Here is a 22,227-nt window from a genome sequence, read left to right as displayed (position 1 = left end):
ATCACAAGTACCTGCTTGGTGCTCCCCTGGGTGTCCCTCAGAGGAGGGGAGAAGTGTTATTTACATGACCACAGGCCTCCAGTCAGCCTCTTAGTGCCTCAGTTTCCTCTGTCCTCTGATGGGATTTATACCTGCAAGTGGGTTGGAGTCTTAGAATGTTTCCTACAAGTAGACATCCAGGGCCCTTTGACAACCATGCCTACTCCCTCTTCTCTCATTTTGTAGAGAAGGGAACCAGGGTCCGAGGTCTGAGGATGAGTGACTGGCCAGGGCCTATCACGGGAAGAACAGTGCTGTGGCCAGAACCAGAGAGCAGAAGCACTTCAGCCCCACTGGCTTTCCTGGCACCCAGGGCTACAGTCTCTTTCTAACAGAGGCCAGTCTGCCTGTGTGAGGATCCTAGCCTGAGGCTGACAACAGACTCACTGCAAAATATGGGGCCGGGGCTAAGCCCTGGCCTTCTGGTTTCCAGTTTCTCAAGACGGCAGTGTAGTGCCAGTTCCTCTCCACTGTACAACTTCTCAAGGCCTGGGGAGCAGGTTCACAAGGGGTGGATGACTGAATCCATCATCTCCTCAACTCCTTTGGGCTTCTGGTGCCTTTGGTGCATGTTTGTCCTGTCCTTTGTAGCCCTTAGCTAGCCTGAATCTTTCTCACAAAGGAAAAACAGAAAACCATTGTATGTATCAGGACAACACAGGAGGAAAATCCTCCAGTGACTTCACTCAAAGTTTTCTGTCCACACCACTGTTTAATGAGTGTTCCCCATCACGGACTTTCTACATCTGAGAAGGAGCCACGAAGTCCCTGGACCTGCCACCATCTTACCTGCCTTGTTCAGCCGCTGGCTACTTGGATGTCTAATAAGACATCTCAAGCTTAGCACTTCCGAAGGGCCTGTTCCTTCCACCCATCTTCCTTGTCTCTTTTTTTTTTTTTTTTTTGAGAAGGACTCTTGCTCTGTCGCCCAGGCTGGAGTGCAGTGGTGCGATCTCTGCTCACTGCAAGCTCCGCCTCCCGGTTCACGCCATTCTCCTGCCTCAGCCTCCTGAGTAACTGGGACTACAGGTGCCCGCCACCACGCTGGCTAATTTTTTGTATTTTTTAGTAGAGACGGGGTTTCACCATGTTAGCCAGGATGGTCTCGATCTCCTGACCTCATGATCCGCCTGCCTCAGCCTCCCAAAGTGCTGGGATCACAGGCATGAGCCACCGCGACCAGCCTCCTTTTCTCTTGATAAATGGTGCCACCATGTACTTGTTTGCTCAGGCCAGAAACCTGGATGCCATCCTTTTTTCCTCTCACATTAGCTGCACCCACACCTGGCGAGTCCTGCCCACTCTGCTCTGAGTCTTTCCTAAGTCTCGCTCAGCTCCAGCCCCACTGGATGCTTTTCTGTTTCTCAGACATGCTGAGTTCATACCCTTTACCCCGAAGGTTTTTTCTTCTGTTCCTCTTGTCCAGCAGACCTCTGCTCAGGAGTCACCCTCTCAGCAAGAACTCAATTGACTACCCCATTCCAGTCAGTCCTCATCCCCCCTCCCATTGCTAGCCCATCATCTGGCTTTGCATTTTCTTTTCTTTTATAAATAGAATCTTTATTGCCCAGGCTGGAGTGCAATAGCACGATTATAGCTCACTGCCACCTCAAACTCCTGGGTTCAAGGGATCCTCCCTCCTCAGCAGTACTACAGGTGCGCACCACAGCGCCTGGCTAATTTTTTGTATTTTTTGTAGAGGTGGGGTGTCACCATGTTGTCCAGGATGGTCTCAAACTCCTGGGCTCAAGCGATCCACTTGCCTTGGCCTCCCGAAGTGCTGGGATTGCAGGCATAAGCCGCTGCACACAGCCTTTTTTTTTTTTTTTTTTAAGATGAGATTTCTCTCTGTTTCCCAGGCTAGAGTGCAGTGGCATGATCCAATCTTCCCAACTTAGCCTCCTGTGTAGCTGGGACCACAAGTACACACCGCCACACCCAGCTAGTTTTTGTATTTTTTTGTAGGTATGGGGTCTCACCATGTTGCCCAGGCTGGTCTCGAACACCTGGACTGAAGCAATCCTCCTGCCTTGGCCTCTCAAAATGCTGGGATTATAGGCATGAGCCACTGCACCCAGCCCAGCCTTGTTTTCTTTAGAGCATACTTGATCTACCAGGTATTTCTTGTTTTCCTATTTGTTTATTTACATTTTCCCTGTCTTTATTCCTTTCACACTTCCTACTCCCACTTTGCAAACTCCCTGGGGCAGGCCTTTGTTAGTTATTTGGTGGCAAGCAGATAGTGCTTGTCCTTTCCAGAGGATGTGAAGGCAACACGGTGGCCTTAAACCATGCTGCTGCAGCAGCCAGTGATACTAAATGAGGTATGCAACATTCTGTTTTCAACCTCCAACTGCCTTTTGCACACATCCTTGTGTAAATATATATATATATAAGGTATATACCTTATATATACACACAGACACTTATTGTGTCTGGAAAAAAATATTGATAGCTTCAGTTGAAGATATATTACAGCTCTGTAATGGCAGACCCCTTACCAGAATAGGTTCAGATTTCCTGTTGCTACTGTAACAATGTTGGCTTGAAATAATCATTTTACAGTTCTGGAGAACAGAAATTCTAAAATCCAGATATTGGCAGGGCTGCGTTCTTTCTGGAGGCCCTAGGGGAGAATTCATTCCTTGCCTTTTCTAGCTTCTAGCGGCCTCCTGTGTTCCTTGACTCATGGCTGCATCCTCCATCTTCAAAGCCAGCAGTGAGGCATCTTCCATTTCATAAAGAACCCTGTGATTACATTGGCCCACCTGGATAATCCACTGTCATCCCCTACTTCAAGGGCTTTAACTTAATCACTTCTGCAAAATCCTTTTTACCATGAAAGGTGACATAGTCACAGGTTCTGGGGATTAGACCATGGACATCTTTGGGGTGGGGGTCTTATCCGGCCTGTAACAGGTACTGTGTATTTTTCCCCTCTGGGAAAATCTGTAAAAATTGATAAATCATTTGGGAATTGGAAAAGCAGAAAACTTATCTCTTTTCTAGCCAAACTGAGGTGATGGTGAATCCTGAATTGATTCTTTTTTTTTTTTAATTGAGCTCTTTGGTTTTTGTTTTAATTTAAAATCCATATTTATAGCCAGAGTTAAAAATTTTTAAATTCTTTCTTTTTTTTTTCTTTTTGAGACGGAGTGAAGTGGCGCGATTTCAGCTCACTGCAATCTCCACCTCCCAGGTTCAAGCGATTCTCCTGCCTCAGCCTCCTGAGTAGCTGGGATTACAGGAGCACGCCACCACGCCCAGCTAATTTTTGTATTTTTAGTAGAGATGAGGTTTCTCCATGTTGGCCAGGCTGGTCTCAAACTCCTGACCTCAGGTGGTCTGCCCATCTCAGCCTCCCAAAGTACTGGGATTATAGGCGTGAGCCACTGAGCCTGGCCTTTTTTTTTGAGACAACATCTTGCTCTGTTGCCCAGGCTTGAGTGCATTGGCACAATCTCAGGTCACTCCAATCTCCGCCTCCCCAGTTCAAGTGATTCTCATGCTTCAGCCTCCCAAGTAGCTAGGACTATAGGCATGTGCTACCACACCCAGCTAAGTTTTCTATTTTTAAGTGGAGATGGGATTTCACCATGTTGGCCAGGCTGGTTTCAAACTCCTGGCCACAAGTGATCCTCCCACCTCATCCTCCCAAGTGCTTGGGATTACAGGCAAAATCTAAAAATTCTGTGCTCGTTTTGTCAAAATAGTTATATAGTTTATTTTTAAAGAAAAGTGTTTAAAATACTTATTTTAATTTTAGGTCTTTGAAAATTTAAGCATCTGTTGTTTTCATAGTGGATATTGAACTCCCATACACTGAGACAAAAATATCTCCCAAATATCCTTGAATCACTGACTAAGTAGGTTCTTCCTGGTGATTTCATGAGCTTTCATAAATCAAATGACCAAATTGTTGTTAGGTTTTCTAGAGTATCTACTGTTCTAACCTGAGAAAGTGAAAAAAGGGGCTGGGCGTGGTGGCTCACGCCTGTAATCCCAGCACTTTGGGAGGCCGAGGCGGGCAGATCACGAGATCAGGAGATCGAGACCATCCTGGCTAACACAGTGAAACCCCGTCTCTACTAAAAATACAAAAAATTAGCCAGGCGTGGTGGCGGGTGCCTGTAGTCCCAGCTACTTGGGTGGCTAAGGCAGGAGAATGGCGTGAACCTGGGAGGCGGAGCTTGCAGTGAGCCGAGATTGCGCCGCTGCACTCCAGCCTGGGCAACAGAGTGAGACTACGTCTCAAAAAAAAAAAAAAAAAAAAAAAGAAAGTGAAAAAAGGAAACCTTCCAGCTTATGTCTTATACCTCCTGGACAGTAAAATTTGCATAAAAATCTGTCATACAGGATCATCCTTGTGTGAGAAAGAGGCAGGCTGACAGCTGGGGCTGGTCACTGGTGGCACATAAACACACATATGTGCTTGTGCACACACCTGTACCACTTGTCAGACTCCTGACATGCTGGGCACTGGAGGAACTTTCCTGAGATCATTTGGCCCCTGTACCAAGGAGCTCATGATCTTGGGGGAGGGGGCATGGACAGTCCCGGGAACAGTGACTGGTGATTGAAGAGGTTTGGTAGGCACCAGGCAGTGGACCAGGGATATGGGCAGTGTGCAAGGGGAGAACCAAAAGATGTTATGAAAGACTCCAGGAGGCAGGAATTTGAACTGGATCATGATGCACTGGCAAGAGGGGAGGACAGAGTGGATACCACTAGTTCTTGGGCATAGTTCTAAGAGGACCTGGAGGAGCAGCAAGCAGCCTTCCTGAAAGACTATTTGGGGAGGGTGGAATGGGCAGTGGCTTTGCTGGATGGGGTGTGCCCCCATGGCCACATAAGCAGTGGACTTGGCTTTAGGGGGCTGTGCAGGTCAAGGAGCATTGAGGAGAGCCCCACCTTACCTCCTGGCATCCCAGACCCCTGGCAACATCTGTTGTGCTGTGCCAAACACACAGGGTTATGGGTGCCCTCCTAACAGGTTGCCACATTGTTGTCAGTTACTGCCTTGCAGTGGGAAATCCCTGTGCTCTATCTGAGGGATGAGGGGCAGGGGTAGGAGGAGGGCTATTGTGGCTGGTGTGGCCCATGGTTGTGGATCCTGTCAGGGCAAGCTGGTGGGCATGCCTGGGGCCACCACAGTCTGAGCTAGACCTGGAGGGATGATTTTCACTTTGCTCCTCACTGCTGTCCAGCTGGCCACCCTCATCTATAGCCTGCTATAGACCAGGGGAACAGCCGCTGCCATCAGGAGCCATAGTGTCTCCCGAGTTGATGCCTGAGAAAAGGCCTTGACTGTGACGGCCTCATGAGCCTGCCTCTGGTGGGGAATGGGCATTGTTCTGTCCCAAAAGAGCTATTTCTCTGAGGTCAAATGATTTGCATACCCACTAGCAAACAGAAAGGCCTCTCCCACTGCTGGGCCTGGTGAGCTTAGGAGCTGAGTTGATGCTCAGAGCAGCAACATGTTCCCTGAGCCAGGCAGTTCCAATGTCTTTGGGGAATTCAGAAGGTGAGAATAGAGCCTGGATCCAGGTAGAGGCTTTGGCCCTCCTAAAGCCAGTCTCAAGCAGCTCTCACACTGGTTTCCTGGTGATGGCGGTGGGGAGATGCAGGAGGCACCAGCAGGGCTGAGGGCCTCCACCAGTTTCTGAGAGCCGTTCAGTCTTGGCCTGTTTCCCGCTGTGGGTGCTGGAGAATCTTTGTTTAAATAGAGGCTTCCTGGATAAAAAGATGTGAAAGCTCAGGGTACACTAGGCTTGGGATGGGTGCTGTGACCAAGGGGACAACTTCCTTTGTGCTCGCTGATTTAAATGCTGAGTTTAGGCTCCAGGGTCTGGGCTGTGTCACCTCTCCAGTCACACTCTCTGCCTCTCTTGTCAGCCCTTGGCCCTGTTATCCTTCTTTTCTCATTCCCACACCTTTGCTTGCTGCCTGGCCACACCCTGTGCCCTCGCCTATTCACGTACACAACATGTGCTGTGAATGTTTGAGCCTTGCCCTGCTTTCTGGCTACTCAGATCCTCTACTCAGGAGAGAGCCTCTACCCATGCCACTTGGGAGGAGAGGGATGTGCTTAAGCATGTTCCTATGGTATGCTGCTTAGGCCCCAAGGAGGAAGCAGGCAGACACTGGGGAAGCTACCTGGAGGGGTGCCTGGGGAGTAGACCTGCCTGTCAGCCCATCACCTCCCCAGCCTGTGCAGGTCCTGGGCTTGTCATGGCTCTGTGGGTTCCATTTCTACTCCTTAGCCAGGCAGTCGAACCCTTCTGCAGCTCCACCACTCCTGCCCCACCTGTACTCATGCCTTTGCCTGCACATCCTCCTTCCTTTTTCACTCCCCTCTCCCCTTTTCTAACACCTTGGTGCAGAGGTGGGAGAATTGCTTGAGGCCAGGAGTTTGAGACCAGCCTGGGCAACATAGAAAGACCCTATCTGTACAAATAATAGTAATATATATATTTTTTCCTTCCTGAGTACCATGCACTTTGTTTTTTTTTTTAGACGGAGTTTCGCTCTTGTTGCCCAGGCTGGAGTGCAGTGGCGTGATCTTGGCTCTCTGCAACCTCCGCCTTTCTGGGTTTAAGCGATTCTCCTGCCTCAGCCTCCTGAGTGGTTGGGATTACAGGCGCCCGCCACCACGCCCGGCTAATTTTTTTTGTATTTTTGGTAGAGACAGGGTTTCACCATGTTGGCTAGGCTGGTCTTAAACTCCTGGGCTCAAGCAGTCCTCCTGCCTCGGCCTCCCAAAGTGCTGGGATTATAGGCCTGAGCCACTGCATCCGGCCAGAATAATTAGTATTGTTAAGCTACCTATTCTCTCCAAATTGATCTAGAGAGTCAACACAGTCCCAGTCAACGATCACAGCCCACCTTCGAAAGGCATTATTAAGAAAATGAGGGCCGGGCGCAGTGGCTCACGCCTGTAATCCCAGCCCTTTGGGAGGCTGAGGTGGGTGGATCGTGAGGTCAGGAGATCAAGACCATCCTGGCTAACATGGTGAAACCCCGTCTCTACTAAAAAATACAAAAACAAAATTAGCCAGGCATGGTGGCGGGCGCCTGTAGTCCCAGCTACTCGGGAGACTGACGTGGGAGAATGGCGTGAACCTGGGAGGCGGAGCTTGCCGTGAGCCGAGATCATGCAACTGCACTCCAGCCTGGGCGACAGAGTGAGACTCCGTCTTAAAAAAAAAAAAAAAAAAAAAGAAAAGAAAATGAGGCCAAGCGCCATGGCTCATGCCTATAATCCCAACACTTTGGGAGGCCGAGGCGGGTGGATCATTTGAGGTCAGGAGTTCGAGACCAGCCTGGCCAACATGGTGAAACCCCGACTCTGCTAAAAATACAAAAATTAGCCTGCTGGTAGTGGCGCGTGCCTGTAATCCCAGCTACTCGGAAGTCTGAGGTGGGAGAATCCCTTGAGCCTGGAAGGTGGAGATTGTGGTGAGCTGAGATTGGGCCACTGCATTCCAGTCTGGACGAGAGAGTGTGAGACCCTTTCTCACCAAACAAACAAACAAACAAACAAAAATGATGATAAACCATAGACTGGAAGAAATACTCACAAAACATAAAAGGACTTGTATCTAAACTACATCAAGAACCTTTACAGTGCAATACGATAAACAAGTGCAATACAATAAACGACCCAATAAAAAATGAGTTAAAAATTTGAAAAAACAGTTGAATAGTTTTCCAACAAATAGGTGGCAAATGAGTACATGAAAAGATACTCAGTATATTTTGTCATAGGGAAAATGTATATTAAAACCACAATGATATTAAAACCATTATATATACACTAAAAGGCCAAAATTAAAAAAAATAAACTGAGAATAGTAAATACTGAAGAAGATATGGAACTCATACATTGCTGGTTGGAATGCAAAATAGCACAGCCACTTTGGAAAACAGTTTGACAGTTTGTTATCAAATTAAACATACACTTATCTTATAACCCAGTAATACCACTTGTAAGTATTTACCCAAGAGAAATGAAAACATATGTCTGTGCAAATACCTTAAAGCAAATATTTGTTGGCTTTATTCATAATAGCTAAAAATTATAACAACTCAAATGTCATCAACTGGTGTATGAACAGATAGAAAAACTGGGGTGTATCCATAACATGGAGTACTACTCAGCAATAAAAAGGAATGGAACACTGCTTCTCCTAACAACATGGATGGATCGCAGATGCATTGTGCTAAGTCTAAGAAGCCAGGCAAGACACCTCATGTTCTATGATTCCATTTATGTGAAATTCTGGAAAAGGCAAAACCATAGGAACACATCAGATTAGTGTTGCCGGGGACTGGGAATGGATGGAACAAATTGACTCCCAAGAGGCCTGAGGGAACTTTTTTTGGAGGAGAAAGGGTCTCACTTTGTTGCCCAGGCTGAAGTACACTGGCATGATCATAGCTCACTGCAGCCTTGAACTCCTGGGCTTAAATAATCCTCCTGCCTCAGCCTCCTAAGTAGCTGGGACTATAGGCAGGCGCCACCACACTTGGCTAATTTATTATTATTATTATTTTTGAGACGGAGTCTTGCTGTGTCGCCCAGGCTGGAGTTCAGTGGCGCGATCTCGGCTCACTGCAAGCTCTGCCTCCCAGGTTCATGCCATTCTCCTGCCTCAGCCTCCTGAGTAGCTGGGACTACAGGCATCCACCACCATGCCTGGCTAATTTTTTGTATTTTTGGTAGAGATGGGGTTTCACCGTGTTAGCCAGGATGGTCTTGATCTCCTGACCTCATGATCCGCTCGCCTCGTCCTCCCAAAGTGCTGGGATTACAGGTGCGAGCCACCATGCCCAGCCACACCTGGCTCATTTTTAAAATTTCTTTATTTTTTATTTTTTTGAGACAGAGTTTCGCTCTTGTTGCCCAGGCTGGAGTGCAATGGCGCGATCTCGGCTCACTGCAACCTCCGCCTCCTGGGTTCACGTGATTCTCCTGCCTCAGCCTCCTGAGTAGCTGGGATTATAGGCATGCACCACCATGCCCGGCTAATTTTGTATTTTTAGTAGAGACGGGATTTCTCCATGTTGGTCAGGCTTGTCTTGAACTCCCGACCTCAGTTGATCCACCCACTGCGGCCTCCCAAAGTGCTGGGATTATAGACGTGAGCCACCGCACCTGGACAGTTTTTTAAATTTTTTATAGAGATGAGGTCCCACTATGTTGTCCCAGGCTGATCTTGACCTCCTGACCTCAAGTGATCCTCCCACCTTAGCCTCCCAAAGTGTTAGGATTACAAGCATGAGCCACCATGCTCAGCTTTAGAGTGATGGAAATGTTCTGTGTGTTGATCGTGGTGGTGGTAATGCAACTGTATACATTTGTTAAAACTCATTTGAAGTGTACAGTTTAAAAGGGAGAATCGGCCAGGTACGGTGGCTCACGCCTGTAATCTTAACATTTTGGGATGCCGAGGCTGGAGGATCACCTGAGGTCAGGAGTTCAAGACCAGCCTGGCCAACATGTTGAAACCCCGTCTCTACTAAAAATACAAAAATTAGCTGGGCATGGTGGCGCACACCTGTAATCCCAGTTACTCCAGAGGCTGAGGCAAGAGAATCACTTGAACCTGGGAGGCAGAGGTTGCAGTGAGCCAAGATCACACTACTGCACTCCAGCCTGGGTGACAGAGGGAGACTCTGTCTCAAAAAAAATAGATAAATAAAAATAAAAGAGAGAATCTTACTATATGTAAACTAATCCTCAATATAAAATACATTTTAGGCCAGGCACGGTGGCTCACACCTGTAATCCCAGGACTTTGGGAGGCCAAGGCAGGCGGATCATGAGGTCAGGAGATCGAGACCATCCTGGCTAACACGGTGAAACCCCCTCTCTACTAAAAATACAAAAAAATTAGCTGGGCATCGGCTGGGCACGGTGGCTCACTCCTGTAATGCCAGCACTTTGGGAGGCTGAGGCGGGCGGATCACGAGGTCAGGAGATTGAGACCATCCTGGCTAACATGGTGAAACACCGTCTCTACTAAAAATACAAAAAAAAAAAAATTAGCCGGGCGTTGTGGCAGGCGCCTGTAGTCCCAGCTACTCTGGAGGCTGAGGCAGGAGAATGGCGTGAACCCGGGAGGCGGGGCTTGCAGTGAGCTGAGATCACACCATTGCACTCCAGCATGGATGACAGCGAGACTCCGTCTCAAAACAAACAAACAAAAAAAACATTTTAAACAACCTGCCAGATACACTTCCAAGGTTACTTCCAGCTCCCACTCCTTCACAAGGCTTCCCTTGACCACCTCCTTGTTGTACCACCCTCTGGTATGTTCCTTCCGGGTCACTGATGGTTTTGGTTCCTGTTAACCGCAGCATGGGATCATTCCTCTGTGGGGCTACATCAGCTACTTTGGCAGTCACCTGCTGGACTCACAGCCAGACTCTGTCTATTGGTGGCTCTGCTAGAAGCCAAGAGTGCTGACAGAGGTGGGGCAGGCTGAGGAGAGGCTGAGAGACCTGGGTGGGCTTCTGTGACTTGTCTTGTTCCTCCCTCAAGTACCTACTCAGTTATTGCTGCTCTCTTCCCCCACAGGTTGGGACAAACATTCCTATGGTTACCATGGTGATGATGGGCATTCGTTCTGCTCCTCGGGGACTGGCCAGCCCTATGGTCCCACATTCACCACAGGAGACGTGATCGGCTGCTGTGTCAACCTCATCAATGGCACCTGCTTCTACACCAAGAATGGCCACAGCCTTGGTGTGTGCATAAGGGACCTTGGAGGCTCTGCTCTGTGGAGCCACTTTGGTTGGTGAGAGGCTCAGGGGCAAGTGCTCAAGGCAGTGTCGCCTCTGCTGAGCTCTGGGGTACCGCACCATTTCCAGGCATTGGAGCCCTTTCAGGTGAATAGAGGGTAGCAGGGGCACGCCTTTGTTCATCCAGCCAGTCAGCTGCGTTTATCCAGCCCAGGGAGGATGCTGAGAGTACAGCAGTATCCTGGTCGTGATCTTGGCTTTGGTGGCACTTGTTGGAGCAAGGTTTGGCGTTGGATGAGAAGTTTGGGGAACCCTTGCATAGGTTGCGTGGTGGTGGTTTGCGTGCCTGTGACCTGGCCCAGACTTTGGTGCTGGTTGCTGTGGAGCAGCAGTGAGGGTGGCACTAGTCCAGGAGGTAAACAGACAGGTGGGAGTCAGATAGGGCCAGACCTCTGGTCTGTTCTTGGTGAATGAGCAGCAGCCGGGGCAGTTACATTGAAAAAGGCTTCTGGTGAAACCATGAAGGATGGACCAGAGTAAAGACCAGGGGAAGAGGCAGATGGCCTGAGGTAAGGCAGTGGGGATGGGTGCAGGACAAAGGCCCAGATGTGGCCCTGCAGGGCTTGGTGACAGATGGGGTGCACTTGCAAGAAGGAAAGGTGAGAAAATGGCTGGATTAGTACTGTTGTTAACCAGGAGAAGAAACCCAGGAGAAATAGCAATCAGTGGAAGAGGATGGGGCCCGTGGGATCCCTGGAAGGAGCGTTCCTGTACATGCGTAGACATTTAGGATTAGGGCTTGAGAGGAAGAGACTTTGGCTATTCTGATGCCGTGCCTACCAGGTGCTAACTGGTATTTGGCCACATTGGCCCTGAGGTGGTGACTAACAGCCTGGTCTGCCTGCCTGGGTTTGCAGAAGTCCCCGATCTACACACCCTAGTTCTCCAGAATGGAATGGTATAGTGAGGAGAGGACTGGCAGAACTCTACCAGCCCAGCTGCCAGCAGCTCTGCCAGGAAAGGGAGTTGGGCATTTTGCTTGGAACCCAACTCCTAGAAGTCCCATTTCCCTTGCCTTGAGGGTCAGTAAAAAGGTGGCTGCAACTCTCCACATCCCCTCTATGACTTCTCCAGGAGATGAGCACAGCTAGTATCAGGGGACCTGAGTGGGAATTGGAGTGCTGATGGCTGGGGCTGCATGCCTAGGAGCCAGCATTCCTGCAACTGGATGCCCCAGCCAAGAGTTGGCAGGAAAGCCTTGGTAGCTAGGCAGCCGAGAACATAGCACGGACACTGCTAAGCTGACCTAGGTGCACATCAGAGAAACCCTCCTCTGAAATTGATGACCACCTGGCTGCAGTTGCTAGTGACCAGATGGTGAGGAGCTAGTGGATAGAGGGTGGGCCAGGGCCTCAAGACAGCTCTTCACTCTCCACTCTGCACTCTGATTCCGCTATTTCTTGGCTCTGGGTTCTGCTGTCAAAGTCCCAGGGGCCACTATTGTGGGCTCTCACCCTGTATCCAAGCCCCACTTCACCTGCCCCCTTGTATAGCTGCCTTCCTCACATCCCTCCAGCTTGCCCACATTTTGCTCACGGATGGGGGCAGACTCTACTGTTCCCTCTGCACCTGCATCTCTCTCCTTCAGGCCTTTCATGTACACCGGGACCACCAAAGGGCCATGAACTCTTTGTCAGTCAAGTCCCAAGGTCCCATAGAGAGCAGATGGCCACTTTAATGTCACCTCAAGCCCTTAGGCTGTTTTTAGACATCCATCTCCTTAGTGGATGCTTTTTATAGACCCCCATCCAAGACCTCACACATCTTGTAATTAAATTTCATCTGGTAGTATTTTGACTTTTTTTCCAGCCTGTCAACACCTTCTGTGTTCTTACTTGTTGTATCTCAAATATTTGATACCCTTTTCAGTGTTGTATTAATCTAAAATTTGTTGTTTGTGTTTATGTTTTCATGAAGTTACTGTTAAAAAATATAGGAAGAAGAGAAGGTTAAGATTTGAGCCCTTCAGTGTATAGTTGAGCTTGTCCTGGAAGACATCAGCCATTTAAGAATCACTAAGTTGGCCGAGCGCGGTGGCTCACGCCTGTATTCCCAGCACTTTGGGAGGCCGAGGTGGGCAGATTGCTTGAGCCCAGGAGTTCGAGATGAGCCTGGGCAAGTGGCGAGACCCCGTCCCTATATTAAAAAAAAAAAAAAAGAATCACTTAGTTCCTGAAGCTCATATTTTTCCATTTTTTCCACATGGATATTATTGAGACCTTACTGAAAACGGGATATGGCCTGTCCCCTGCATTTTTAGATTACAAAATTTAACGGAAAAGCAGTGAAGTTGGAGTGACAGAATGCATGGTGAATCTTCTACTGTCTCTGTTTCCTTTTCCCAAGCCATCTTATCAATAATGTGCTTCAGAATCGATCCCTTCCCCACTTTACAGCAGCGGAATGATGTCTTCTGCCTCTGGCCTCCCTGCTCCTTTCCTCTGTCAACAGCCCTTGCACTATGTGCCATTGGTCAGTTGTCTGCATAATTCTTAGTCATGTGCCATCTCTCTTGCTGGAATCTGAGGGCCAGGTTTGCAACTGTTTCTCTAGTCTTGTGACAACAAATACTTGGTAGAAGGATGAAGGAATGAGTGAACGGAGATACTGACTGATGTCTCATTTGCAAGTGGTCCATGTGCTCACAGTCATTTCCACACAACTCTGTGCTTTCCCACAAGGTCTTTATGTTCTCAGCCTCAGTGGTCCCTGACCTGTGTCTGTTTGGCTCTGGGTACTCCTTATCAGCAAGTTCAGCTATCCCGTTTGCATCCTGGATCTTTGCCTGAACCTTCTTCCCGTGGGCCAACTCAGATCTTGCCATCAAAATGATGTTGCAGGCTGGAGGAGCAGTGTTGCCCTTGTCCAGTGCAGTAGTGGGTGGAGTAGCGTCTTTCCTCATTCTCCTGGAAGCACCTCAAGGCCTTATCCTTCCTGGGTGCCATTGTGAGGCAGAGTTGGGCAAGCCTGGGTAGGTCATCCCCTGACCAAAAGTGTGGCAGTTGCCTCACCCTGTGGCATTACCACAGCTGACTTATACCTAGACCTTAGGGTTCATGAAGTAGCTTTCACAGAATGTCTCATTTTCTCCCTTTTTCCTTGAAGTCGAGATATCGATATTATCTCTTTTTTTCAGATGAGCTCAGAGAGGTTGGGTTACTTGCCAAAGGTCACACTATATATAATTTACGGAGCTTGGACTCCCTTTTTCCAGGCTTCTTGGGGACTCCTCCATGAGCCCTGGAGTAAGCAATATCCTGGCCATGCTGAGATCCATGAGGGCAGCTCCGGGGCAGGCCTGGAGGGTGGACATTGGGGTCTTCTCCTGGGTACAGAGAGATTTCCAGATTCAGTCCTGCCAGCATGCCAGAGTCATGCCGACTGTGCATGTGGGGCCCAAAAGTGGCTTCAGACAGGCAGACCATGCGGCTTATGAGCGTCCCTCAGTGAGAAGCAAACAAAATAGCCGAACAAAGAATATAAACCATCTCTCTGCATCTTGGTTTTTTCATATGTGAACTAGTGTCAGAGGTAGTATACATCTTCCAAGGTTGTTCTGAGGATTGAATAGTGCCTTATAAGACACTCAGTCCAGTGCCCAGCATAGAGGAAGCATGTGGTATGTGCTGGCTGGCATGATTCCGGCCAGGTTTCTGGGAGACCTGTTGTCAGACCCAAAATAGAATAGACCCTGTTCTATTTTGCAGGGCTTCAGTTTCTTTTCTGGGCAGGGGTTGGATAGCAGACTGGAGATCTCTAAGGAATCAGCAGTTTGAAAACCTCAAAGGCCAAAAGCTCAGGAGCTTCTGGGAGATATAAGACTTTATCTGCCGGGCATGATGGCTCACGACTGTAATCCCAGCACTTTGGGAGGCTGAGACAGGCAGATCATGAGGTCAGGAGATCGAGACCATCTGGCTAACACGGTGAAACCCCGTCTCCACTAAAAATACAAAAAAAAATTAGCTGGGCATGATGGCGGGCACTTGTAGTCCCAGCTACTTGGGAGGCTGAGGCGGGAGAATGGCGTGAACCCGGGAGGCGGAGCTTGCAGTGAGCTGAGATCACACCACTGCATTCCAGCCTAGGGGACAGAGCAAGACTCCGTCTCAGGGAAAAAAAAAAAAAAAAAAGTGTGAACCTGGGAGGCGGAGCTTGCAGTGAGCCGAGATCACGCCACTGCACTCCAGCCTGGGCGACAGAACTAGACTCCGTCTCAAAAAAAAAAAAGACTTTATCTAAAAAATGAGAGGGCTTTGAGTCCTTGGAGAGCCTCCACTGGTCCTGAGTCATTTGTCATTTCTCAGTTTGAAGAACATGGGTGCTCTGGTAGCCTGCTTATATAGTTGTGGTCCCACTCCCCTCTACCCTCACTTCCAATTCAGAGCTGAGGTCCCTAGAAATGCAGCCACTTCTCTTGGCAGGAGGGTTTTTGACAGGCTGTTTTTTGTTTTTGTTTTTTTGGGACAGGGTCTTGCTCTGGCACCCAAGCTGGAACCCAGTGGCACAATCATACTAGCTCACTGCAGCCTCAACCTGCAGGGCTCAAGTGGTCCTCCTGCCTCAGCCTCCCAAGTCGCTGGGACCACAGCTAATTTTATATATTTTGTAGAGACGGAGCCTCGCTATGTTGCCCATGCTGGTCTTGAACTTCTGTTCTCAAGAGATCCTTCCACACAGGCCATTGTTAACCTGAACTTTGCCAGCTTGGAACCTCTGAGGACTCTGACTGCGTATGGACTGGAGATAGGCAGCTGCCACCCTCCCTGTTTCCACTTCTCTGTCAGCTTGGGGATGACATTGAAGCATTGGACTAGGAACAAATCCAGCCCCACCACCTTTGCTAGCTTTATGACTACTGGCAAATTGTCGAACCTCTGAGGCTTATTTTTCTCCTTTGTAAAATGCAATAAGCCTGCTTCCCAGAGTTGGTGTGAGGATCAGATGAAGTAATGGATGGAAAAGGGGCGAGGTGCGGTAGCTCACACCTGTAATCCCAGCACTTTGGGAGGCCGAGGTGGGCAGATCACTTGAGGTCAGGAGTTCAAGACCAGCCTGGCCAACATGGTGAAACCCTGTCTCTACCAAAAATACAAAAATATATATTAGCCGGGCATGGTGGTATGTGCCTGTAGTCCCAGCTACTCGGGAGGCTGAGGCAGGAGAATTGCTTGAACTCGGGAAGCAGAGGTTGAAGTGAGCCAAGATTGTGCTACTGCACTCCAGCCTGGGCGACAGAGTGAGGCCCTTCTCCAAAAAAGGATCTGGCATGCACAATAAGTTTCCATAAATATGTGTTAAATCAAGAGAAGTATCAGGTCTGAAGGGCCGCAGGGGATAGATCTTTTGGATTTAGTTCCCCTTAGCAGGCTTTCTTTGCGGGTGGAGGAGCTATGCACCTGCCTAAGCATCTGATTTCACTTCTGGCCAGGCCGCCAGTGAAGAGAAGGCCATGGTCTAATTAAAACTACCTAGCCCGGGGCCGGGCTCAGTGGCTCACGCCTGTAATCCCAGCACTTTGGGAAGCTGAGGTGGGCAGACCACAAGGTCAGGAGATCGAGACCATCCTGGCTAACATGGTGAAACCCCGTCTCTACTAAAAATAGAAAAAATTGGCCTGGCGTGGTGGTGGGCGCCTGTATTCCCAGCTACTCGGGAGGCTGAGGTAGGAGAATGGCGTGAACCGGGGAGGCAGAGCTTGCAGTGAGCCGAGATCGCACCACTGCACTCCAGCCTGGGCGACAGAGTGAGACTGCATCTCAAAAAACAAAAACAAAAACAAAAAAACCTTCCCAGCTGGACACAGTAGCTCATGCCTGTAATCCTAGCACTTTGGGAGGCTGAGGCGGGCAGATCACTTGAGGTCAGGGGTTCAAGACCAGCCTGGCCAACATGGTGAAACCCTGTCTCTACTAAAAATACAAAAATTAGCCAGGCGTGGTGGTGGGCACCTGTAATCTCAGCTACTGGGGAGGCTGAGGCCAGAGAATTGCTTGAACCAGGAGGCAGAGGTTGCAGTGAGCCAAGATCGTACCACTGCACTCCAGCCTGGGCTACGGAGGGAGACTCTGTCTCAAAACAACAACAACAAACCAAAAAAAACAACTACCCGGCCCTAGCACTGGCTCCACCATGGGGTGCAGAGGCAGAGTAGCCCCAGGGGCTGGCCCTGATGACTGTTCCTTTCCCCCCACAGGTATAGCCTTCACAGACCTCCCGGTGAGTACTACTATTGAGTCTTCCCCTCCTGGGTTTCTGGGGGCTGACTGGGATGGGGCACGGTGGTACCTGCAAGTGCAGGGTGTGGAGTCTGGTTCTTTCCCCAACCAGGGATGTGTGCCATGCTGTCAGCTTGAGGGTACCAGGAGGGGCACTTGCTGGCCTTCCTCTCTCTCCAGCAGTAAGGTCTGGTCTTCCTACGACTCTTAGCAGGTGACAGTAATTTGTGGCACTTCCAAAGGCAGCTGTGGGGCTGGGGCGGGTAGGGTGGTGGAATGAAGATAGCTCCATGGCTCAACTGGTCTAAACCAGCTGTGTGTCAGCTGGGGTGCAGAGTGTAGGGAATTGTTCCTGAACTGTGAGGGAACCTAGTCCTTGTACATACCCATCAGAGATCCCTGAGGAAAGTTAGTGCCCTAGGGGAACTCATCTGCTACTATCTAGGGCACCCCCAAGCCAGAGAGGTGAGCTTTGTGGGGTCTTCTCTTCTTAGAAAAGGATGGAGTTTTCTGGCCGGGTGCGGTGGCTCACACCTGTAATCCCAGCACTTTGGGAGGCCGAGGTGGGCAAATCACGAGGTCAGGAGATCAAGATCGTCCTGGCTAACAGGGTGAAACCCTGTCTCTACTAAAAATACAAAAAAAGTTAGCCGGGCCTGGTTGCAGGCGCCTGTAGTCCCAGCTCCTCGGGAGGCTGAGGCAGGAGAATGGCCTGAACCCGGGAGGCAGAGTTTGCAGTGAGCTGAGATCGCACCACTGCACTTCAGCCTGGGCGACAGAGCGAGCCTCCGTCTCAAAAAAAAAAAAAAAAAAAAAAAAAAGAAAAGGATGGAGTTTTCTGCTTGCTTAGTTCAAAAAAAAAAAAAAACAGAAAAGGATGGAGTTTTCTGCTTGCTTAGTTCAGGGCATATCCTCACCTCCAGCCATCCCGCACCTGTACTCCAGTCTCTATTATGAGTCATCACAGGCCTAATCACATGCAGGGCCTCCACCCAGGATGCTGGGAGCCTGGCCTGGCTCTGTGTGTTCTGGTTAGGTTCTGGAAGGAAGGAAGGTTTGCTGACTCTGGTGGCTGCTTTGGGATCCCAAACACCCCAGTGATGCCCCAGGAAATGCCTTTGTGATCTTATGGGCCTCTGAAGCCCAGACCATAGCACCCAGGGTCCTGTTAAAACCTCCAGTCCATGGCTCAGAATCCTTCCCTCTTACCTGGAAGCCCCAGAGAGGGGCTGTGGTCCTAGGCAAAGAGAACAGAATCAGGTGGAGAATGCTGACCCTGGCTAGGGAAGGGTCTAGTTATGGGGACGTGACATGAAATGACCAGGCATGAGCATGGCCAGTATGCAGCCACATGCAAGAAGGTATGGGGGAAAGACATGGTAGGCAGTGACGGTCAGGAAGGCTTGCTGGAGGAGGCGGGCCTTGCCTGTGGTGGAGGATGGTAGGGGAAAGAAAGGAAGCGAGAGGTCCTCTGTGTGCAGAGCCCATGGTGGGCTGAAGCCAGCATACAGGAAAAGGTCCCATACCTTGTGCAGGTACAAAAATGCATGGTTGGCCAGGCGCGCTGGCTCACGCTTGTGATCCTAGCACTTTGGGAGGCTGAGGTGGGCAGATCACCTGAGGTTGGGAGTTCAAGACCAGCCTGACCAACATGGAGAAACCCCATCTCTGCTAAAAATACAAAATTAGCCGGGCGTGGTGGCGCATGCCTGTAATCCCAGCTACTCAGGAGGCTGAGGCAAGAGAATTGCTTGAACCCAGGAGGTAGAAGTTGCGGTGAGCTGAAATCGCGCCATTGCACTCCAGCCTGGGCAACAAGAGCGAAACTCCGTCTCAAAAAAAAAAAAGTGCATGATACTCAGGAAGGAACATGGCCTGAGCACGGAGGTGAAGGGTGGACTGAGGGCCCTGGGAAGACCATCTGCAGTGACAGTGGGGAGGAGGCTAGCGAGGCTCTGGACAGTTGCAGTGGGGAGCCACAGGAACCACCAAGTGAGGGAGGGACCGAACAAAAGCCAGTCATGGTAGAGGCTAGGTGGAAAGCAGGGAGCCTCACACCCTACTGGCCAGAAGATCCTCTTAGCGAGCCTCTAACAGGAAGGGTAGCTTCTCTTCACCCTTTGCCAGCACCAGGGGTCTAGACCACCGGTTCCCTTTTGCCATGTTCCCCTCCTCCCTCCTTTCCTGCGTCATCCCATCTCTGCCTACCCCCCATGTATCTATCTTTTGGTTTGTTTTTTTTTTTTCTTTCTGAGACAGGGACTCACTCTTGTCACCAAGGCTGGGTTGCAGTGGCAGAATCACAGCTTACTGCAGCCTCAATTTCCTGGACTCAAGCCATCTTCCCACCTCAGCCTCCCGAGTAGCTGGGACCACAGGTGCATACCACCACACCTGGCTAATTTTTATCTTTTTATTTTTTGTAGAGACAGGGTCTCACTTTGTTGCCCAGACTGGTCTTGAAAACCTGGGCTCAAGCGATCCTCCTAAATTGGCCTCCCAAAGTGCTGGGATTACAGGCATGAGCCACTGTGCCCAGCCTCATGTGTCTTATTTTTTTTGAGACAGAGAGATCCTTGGCCCTGGATCTTTCCAAGAGGAGCCATGACCCACTATTGCAGCAGACCTTCATGGGCACGTCTGAAGGGTCGTGGAGCCCAGCCCATTTCTGTATGCTTTGGCTGAGTTCCAGAAAGGGCTCTTGGGCCTTGAGGACACAATGGCCTCTGATACAGGGCAGGACACTCTCCATGATGTGCCTTGCTTGCTTTTCTTTTGCTTTCTCCCCTCAAGCTTTGGGGCATAATGTCTCTGCTAGGGAGGTGGACAGAGGTGGCTCCGCCCTGCCTCCTCCAGCCTTGCTGCAACTCTCCCAGCCCAAGCATGGGCCAGCAGCAGCCATGGAGGTGAGGTGAGGCCTTAGAACCCCACTGCCCTCAGGGCCTGACTGACATTTCATTCTCCTCCTCAGGCCAACCTCTACCCCACCGTAGGCCTGCAGACACCTGGGGAGATTGTGGACGCCAACTTTGGGCAGCAGCCCTTCCTGTTTGACATTGAGGACTACATGCGGGAGTGGCGTGCCAAGGTCCAGGGCACGGTCCACTGCTTCCCCATCAGTGCCCGGCTTGGCGAGTGGCAGGCAGTGCTGCAGAAGTGAGTGCCCTGCTCCTGCCCTTACCCACTCCCACCCCACCCCAGCCCACTTCACTCTAGGCCCCTGTAGGGCTACAAGCTGTTCTTACAAATTCCAGCGGGTGGATCCTTTCTGGGAAGCATTCCCAGGGCCATTCAGCCTGCAGCTCTCCTGCTTCTCTGTCGTCGGATGGACAGCTCCCACCGAGTTCTCCGGGCTGCTCCTAATTAAACCTTTGCCTCTCAGCCATATTGGAGGCTCCTGTATATAAGATCACCAGCAGGGCTGTTTTCCTTCCCCAGGTCATTTTGCAGAGGATTTTGCAGAGGATGCCCTGTGGTCTCTTCCTCTGTGGACCCTTTTTCTACCATAGGGAGTATCCATGGTGCTGTGACTCTGGCCTGAGGCCACCTCACAGGGCCCAGCATCCAACTGAGTCTCATTCGTCTATAGCGGTGGTGGAGGGAAGGGAGTTCTCCCTAGGACCAGCTGAGCTAGCTCCTTGGCTGATTAATTCCCAGACTGTCCTGGAAGCCAGTGTCGCTGAACTCCCAAGGGAGGCCAGCTTTGGGTTTCTCTTCCACTTGCCATCTGCAAGCCTGAGTGAGGCAGTGACCAGTATCCACTCTGCCAGGAGGTGGGTGTTAGCTTGGCTCTCAAGGATGGGCAGATGGGCATGGGGAAGGGCTGGGCTTCCACTGCCTGTGGTCATTGCCCTGCAAAGGCACCAGGGTGCTAGGATTCCTGGGGTGGGGTTGGGGTACACACTGAGTTCTTTGTGCAGCCTTTGTCCCTTGAGGCAGGCCCCAAGGATGGGCTGAGGCAGGGGCTAGGTGGCCAGACCTTCCCCAGGAAAAACAGCATTGCTGCCTCTTGTTCACAGCCCCCCAGAGCAGATGACAAGGACTTCCTTGGATGGCCAGGACAGCGCCACTCCCAGAGCAGGCTTGGTGGGATTGCCAAGAAGAGGGGTGAAGATGCCAAGTCTGTGTAGGGGAGGAACTGATACTCTCAGTTTTCAGGGCCTAGGCTCAGCACATGGATGTGTTTTTGTTTTGGGGTTTTTAAAAAAATACTGAGATGGGGTCGCACTTTGTTGCCCAGGTTGGACTCCTGGGCTCAAGTGATCCTCCCACCTCAGCCTCCTGAGTAGCTGGCATCACAGGCATGTGCTACCATGTCCAGCATAGCACATAGGTGTTTTTGTTTACATGTGTGTATCCATGTGCTTGTATGTGTTCATATGTAGCATTTGCCAAGACCTGCATATAATTTGTGTACTGTGGTTTTACATAACTTCATTTAATGAATATTGATAATGGCTATGTTATCACAGAGACAAATTTGTCACAAGCCTTTTGGCTGGCTTCCTCTAGTGGAAGGTCAGGTAATTCCTTCTCTTTTACTTGTGTAGGTAACCCTCTTGTAGATAAAGACTTTTTCATATTTACCCTTGTGTTTATAATAATAATATGGTGTAATAATAATAATTATACTTACTTTACTTTTTTCTGAGTCAGGAGTTTACTCTATTGCCCAGGCGGAGTGCAGTGACACAGTCATGGCTCACTGCAGCATGGACCTCCTGAGCTCAAGCAATTCTTCTACCTCAGTCTCCTGAGTAGCTGGGACTGTAGGCATGCACCACCACACCTGGCTAATTTTTTGTATTTTTTGTGGGGACAGGGTTTCGCCATGTTGCCCAGGTTGGTCTCAAACTTCTGGGCTCAAGTGATTTTCCTGCCTCGGCCTCCCAAAGTGTTGAGATTACAGGCATGAGCCACCACACGCAGCCAATAATTTTTTTTTTTTTTTTTTTTTTTTGAGATGGAGTCTCGCTTTGTCGCCCAGGCTGTAGTGCAGTGGCGCAATCTCGGCTCACTGCAAGCTCCGCCTCCTGGGTTCAAGCCATTCTCCTGCCTCAGCCTCCTGAGTAGCTGGGACTACAGGTGCCCGCCACTACGCCCGGGCGTAATTTTTTTTTGTATTTTTTTAGTAGAGATGGCATTCCACCGCATTAGCCAGGAT

At 50.0% G+C, this 22,227-nt stretch overlaps 1 protein-coding gene across 10 annotated transcripts in view, besides 2 other annotated features; it reads left to right on the top strand.

Moving 5' to 3' along the window:
• RANBP10 (RAN binding protein 10) overlaps positions 1-22,227 on the top strand; it is an 83,491-nt gene that overhangs the window by 51,484 nt on the left and 9,780 nt on the right. For 6 of the 10 annotated variants that reach the window (NM_001320238.2, NM_020850.3, NM_001410883.1 and 3 more), the window contains 3 exons: positions 10,622-10,789; positions 17,042-17,064; positions 20,035-20,219. In NM_001320238.2, the coding sequence (NP_001307167.1) occupies positions 10,622-10,789; positions 17,042-17,064; positions 20,035-20,219 (376 nt within the window). Of the gene's footprint in view, positions 1-10,621; positions 10,790-10,851; positions 10,933-17,041; positions 17,065-20,034; positions 20,220-20,277; positions 20,837-22,227 lie in introns of those variants that run through there. The other 4 variants (XM_011523247.4, NM_001320239.2, XM_006721238.5 and 1 more) reach the window with 4 other exon arrangements.
• Positions 4,635-4,684: an enhancer, noted in NCBI's record as "active region_10982". NCBI's record gives its function as "activates an Ori minimal core promoter by ATAC-STARR-seq in GM12878 lymphoblastoid cells {active_cell/tissue: GM12878}" and the evidence as "EXISTENCE:reporter gene assay evidence [ECO:0000049][PMID:35858748]".
• Positions 14,877-15,171: an enhancer, noted in NCBI's record as "tiled region #12647; HepG2 Activating non-DNase unmatched - State 15:Elon". NCBI's record gives its function as "activates a minimal TATA promoter and a strong SV40 promoter by Sharpr-MPRA in HepG2 cells {active_cell/tissue: HepG2}" and the evidence as "EXISTENCE:reporter gene assay evidence [ECO:0000049][PMID:27701403]".

The sequence above is a fragment of the Homo sapiens genome, chromosome 16, assembly GCF_000001405.40.
Source record: "Homo sapiens chromosome 16, GRCh38.p14 Primary Assembly".
Taxonomy (NCBI): Eukaryota; Metazoa; Chordata; class Mammalia; order Primates; family Hominidae; genus Homo; species Homo sapiens.
The sequence above is the reverse complement of the archived record's forward strand: the minus strand, read 5'-3'. Positions and strand labels throughout refer to the sequence as shown.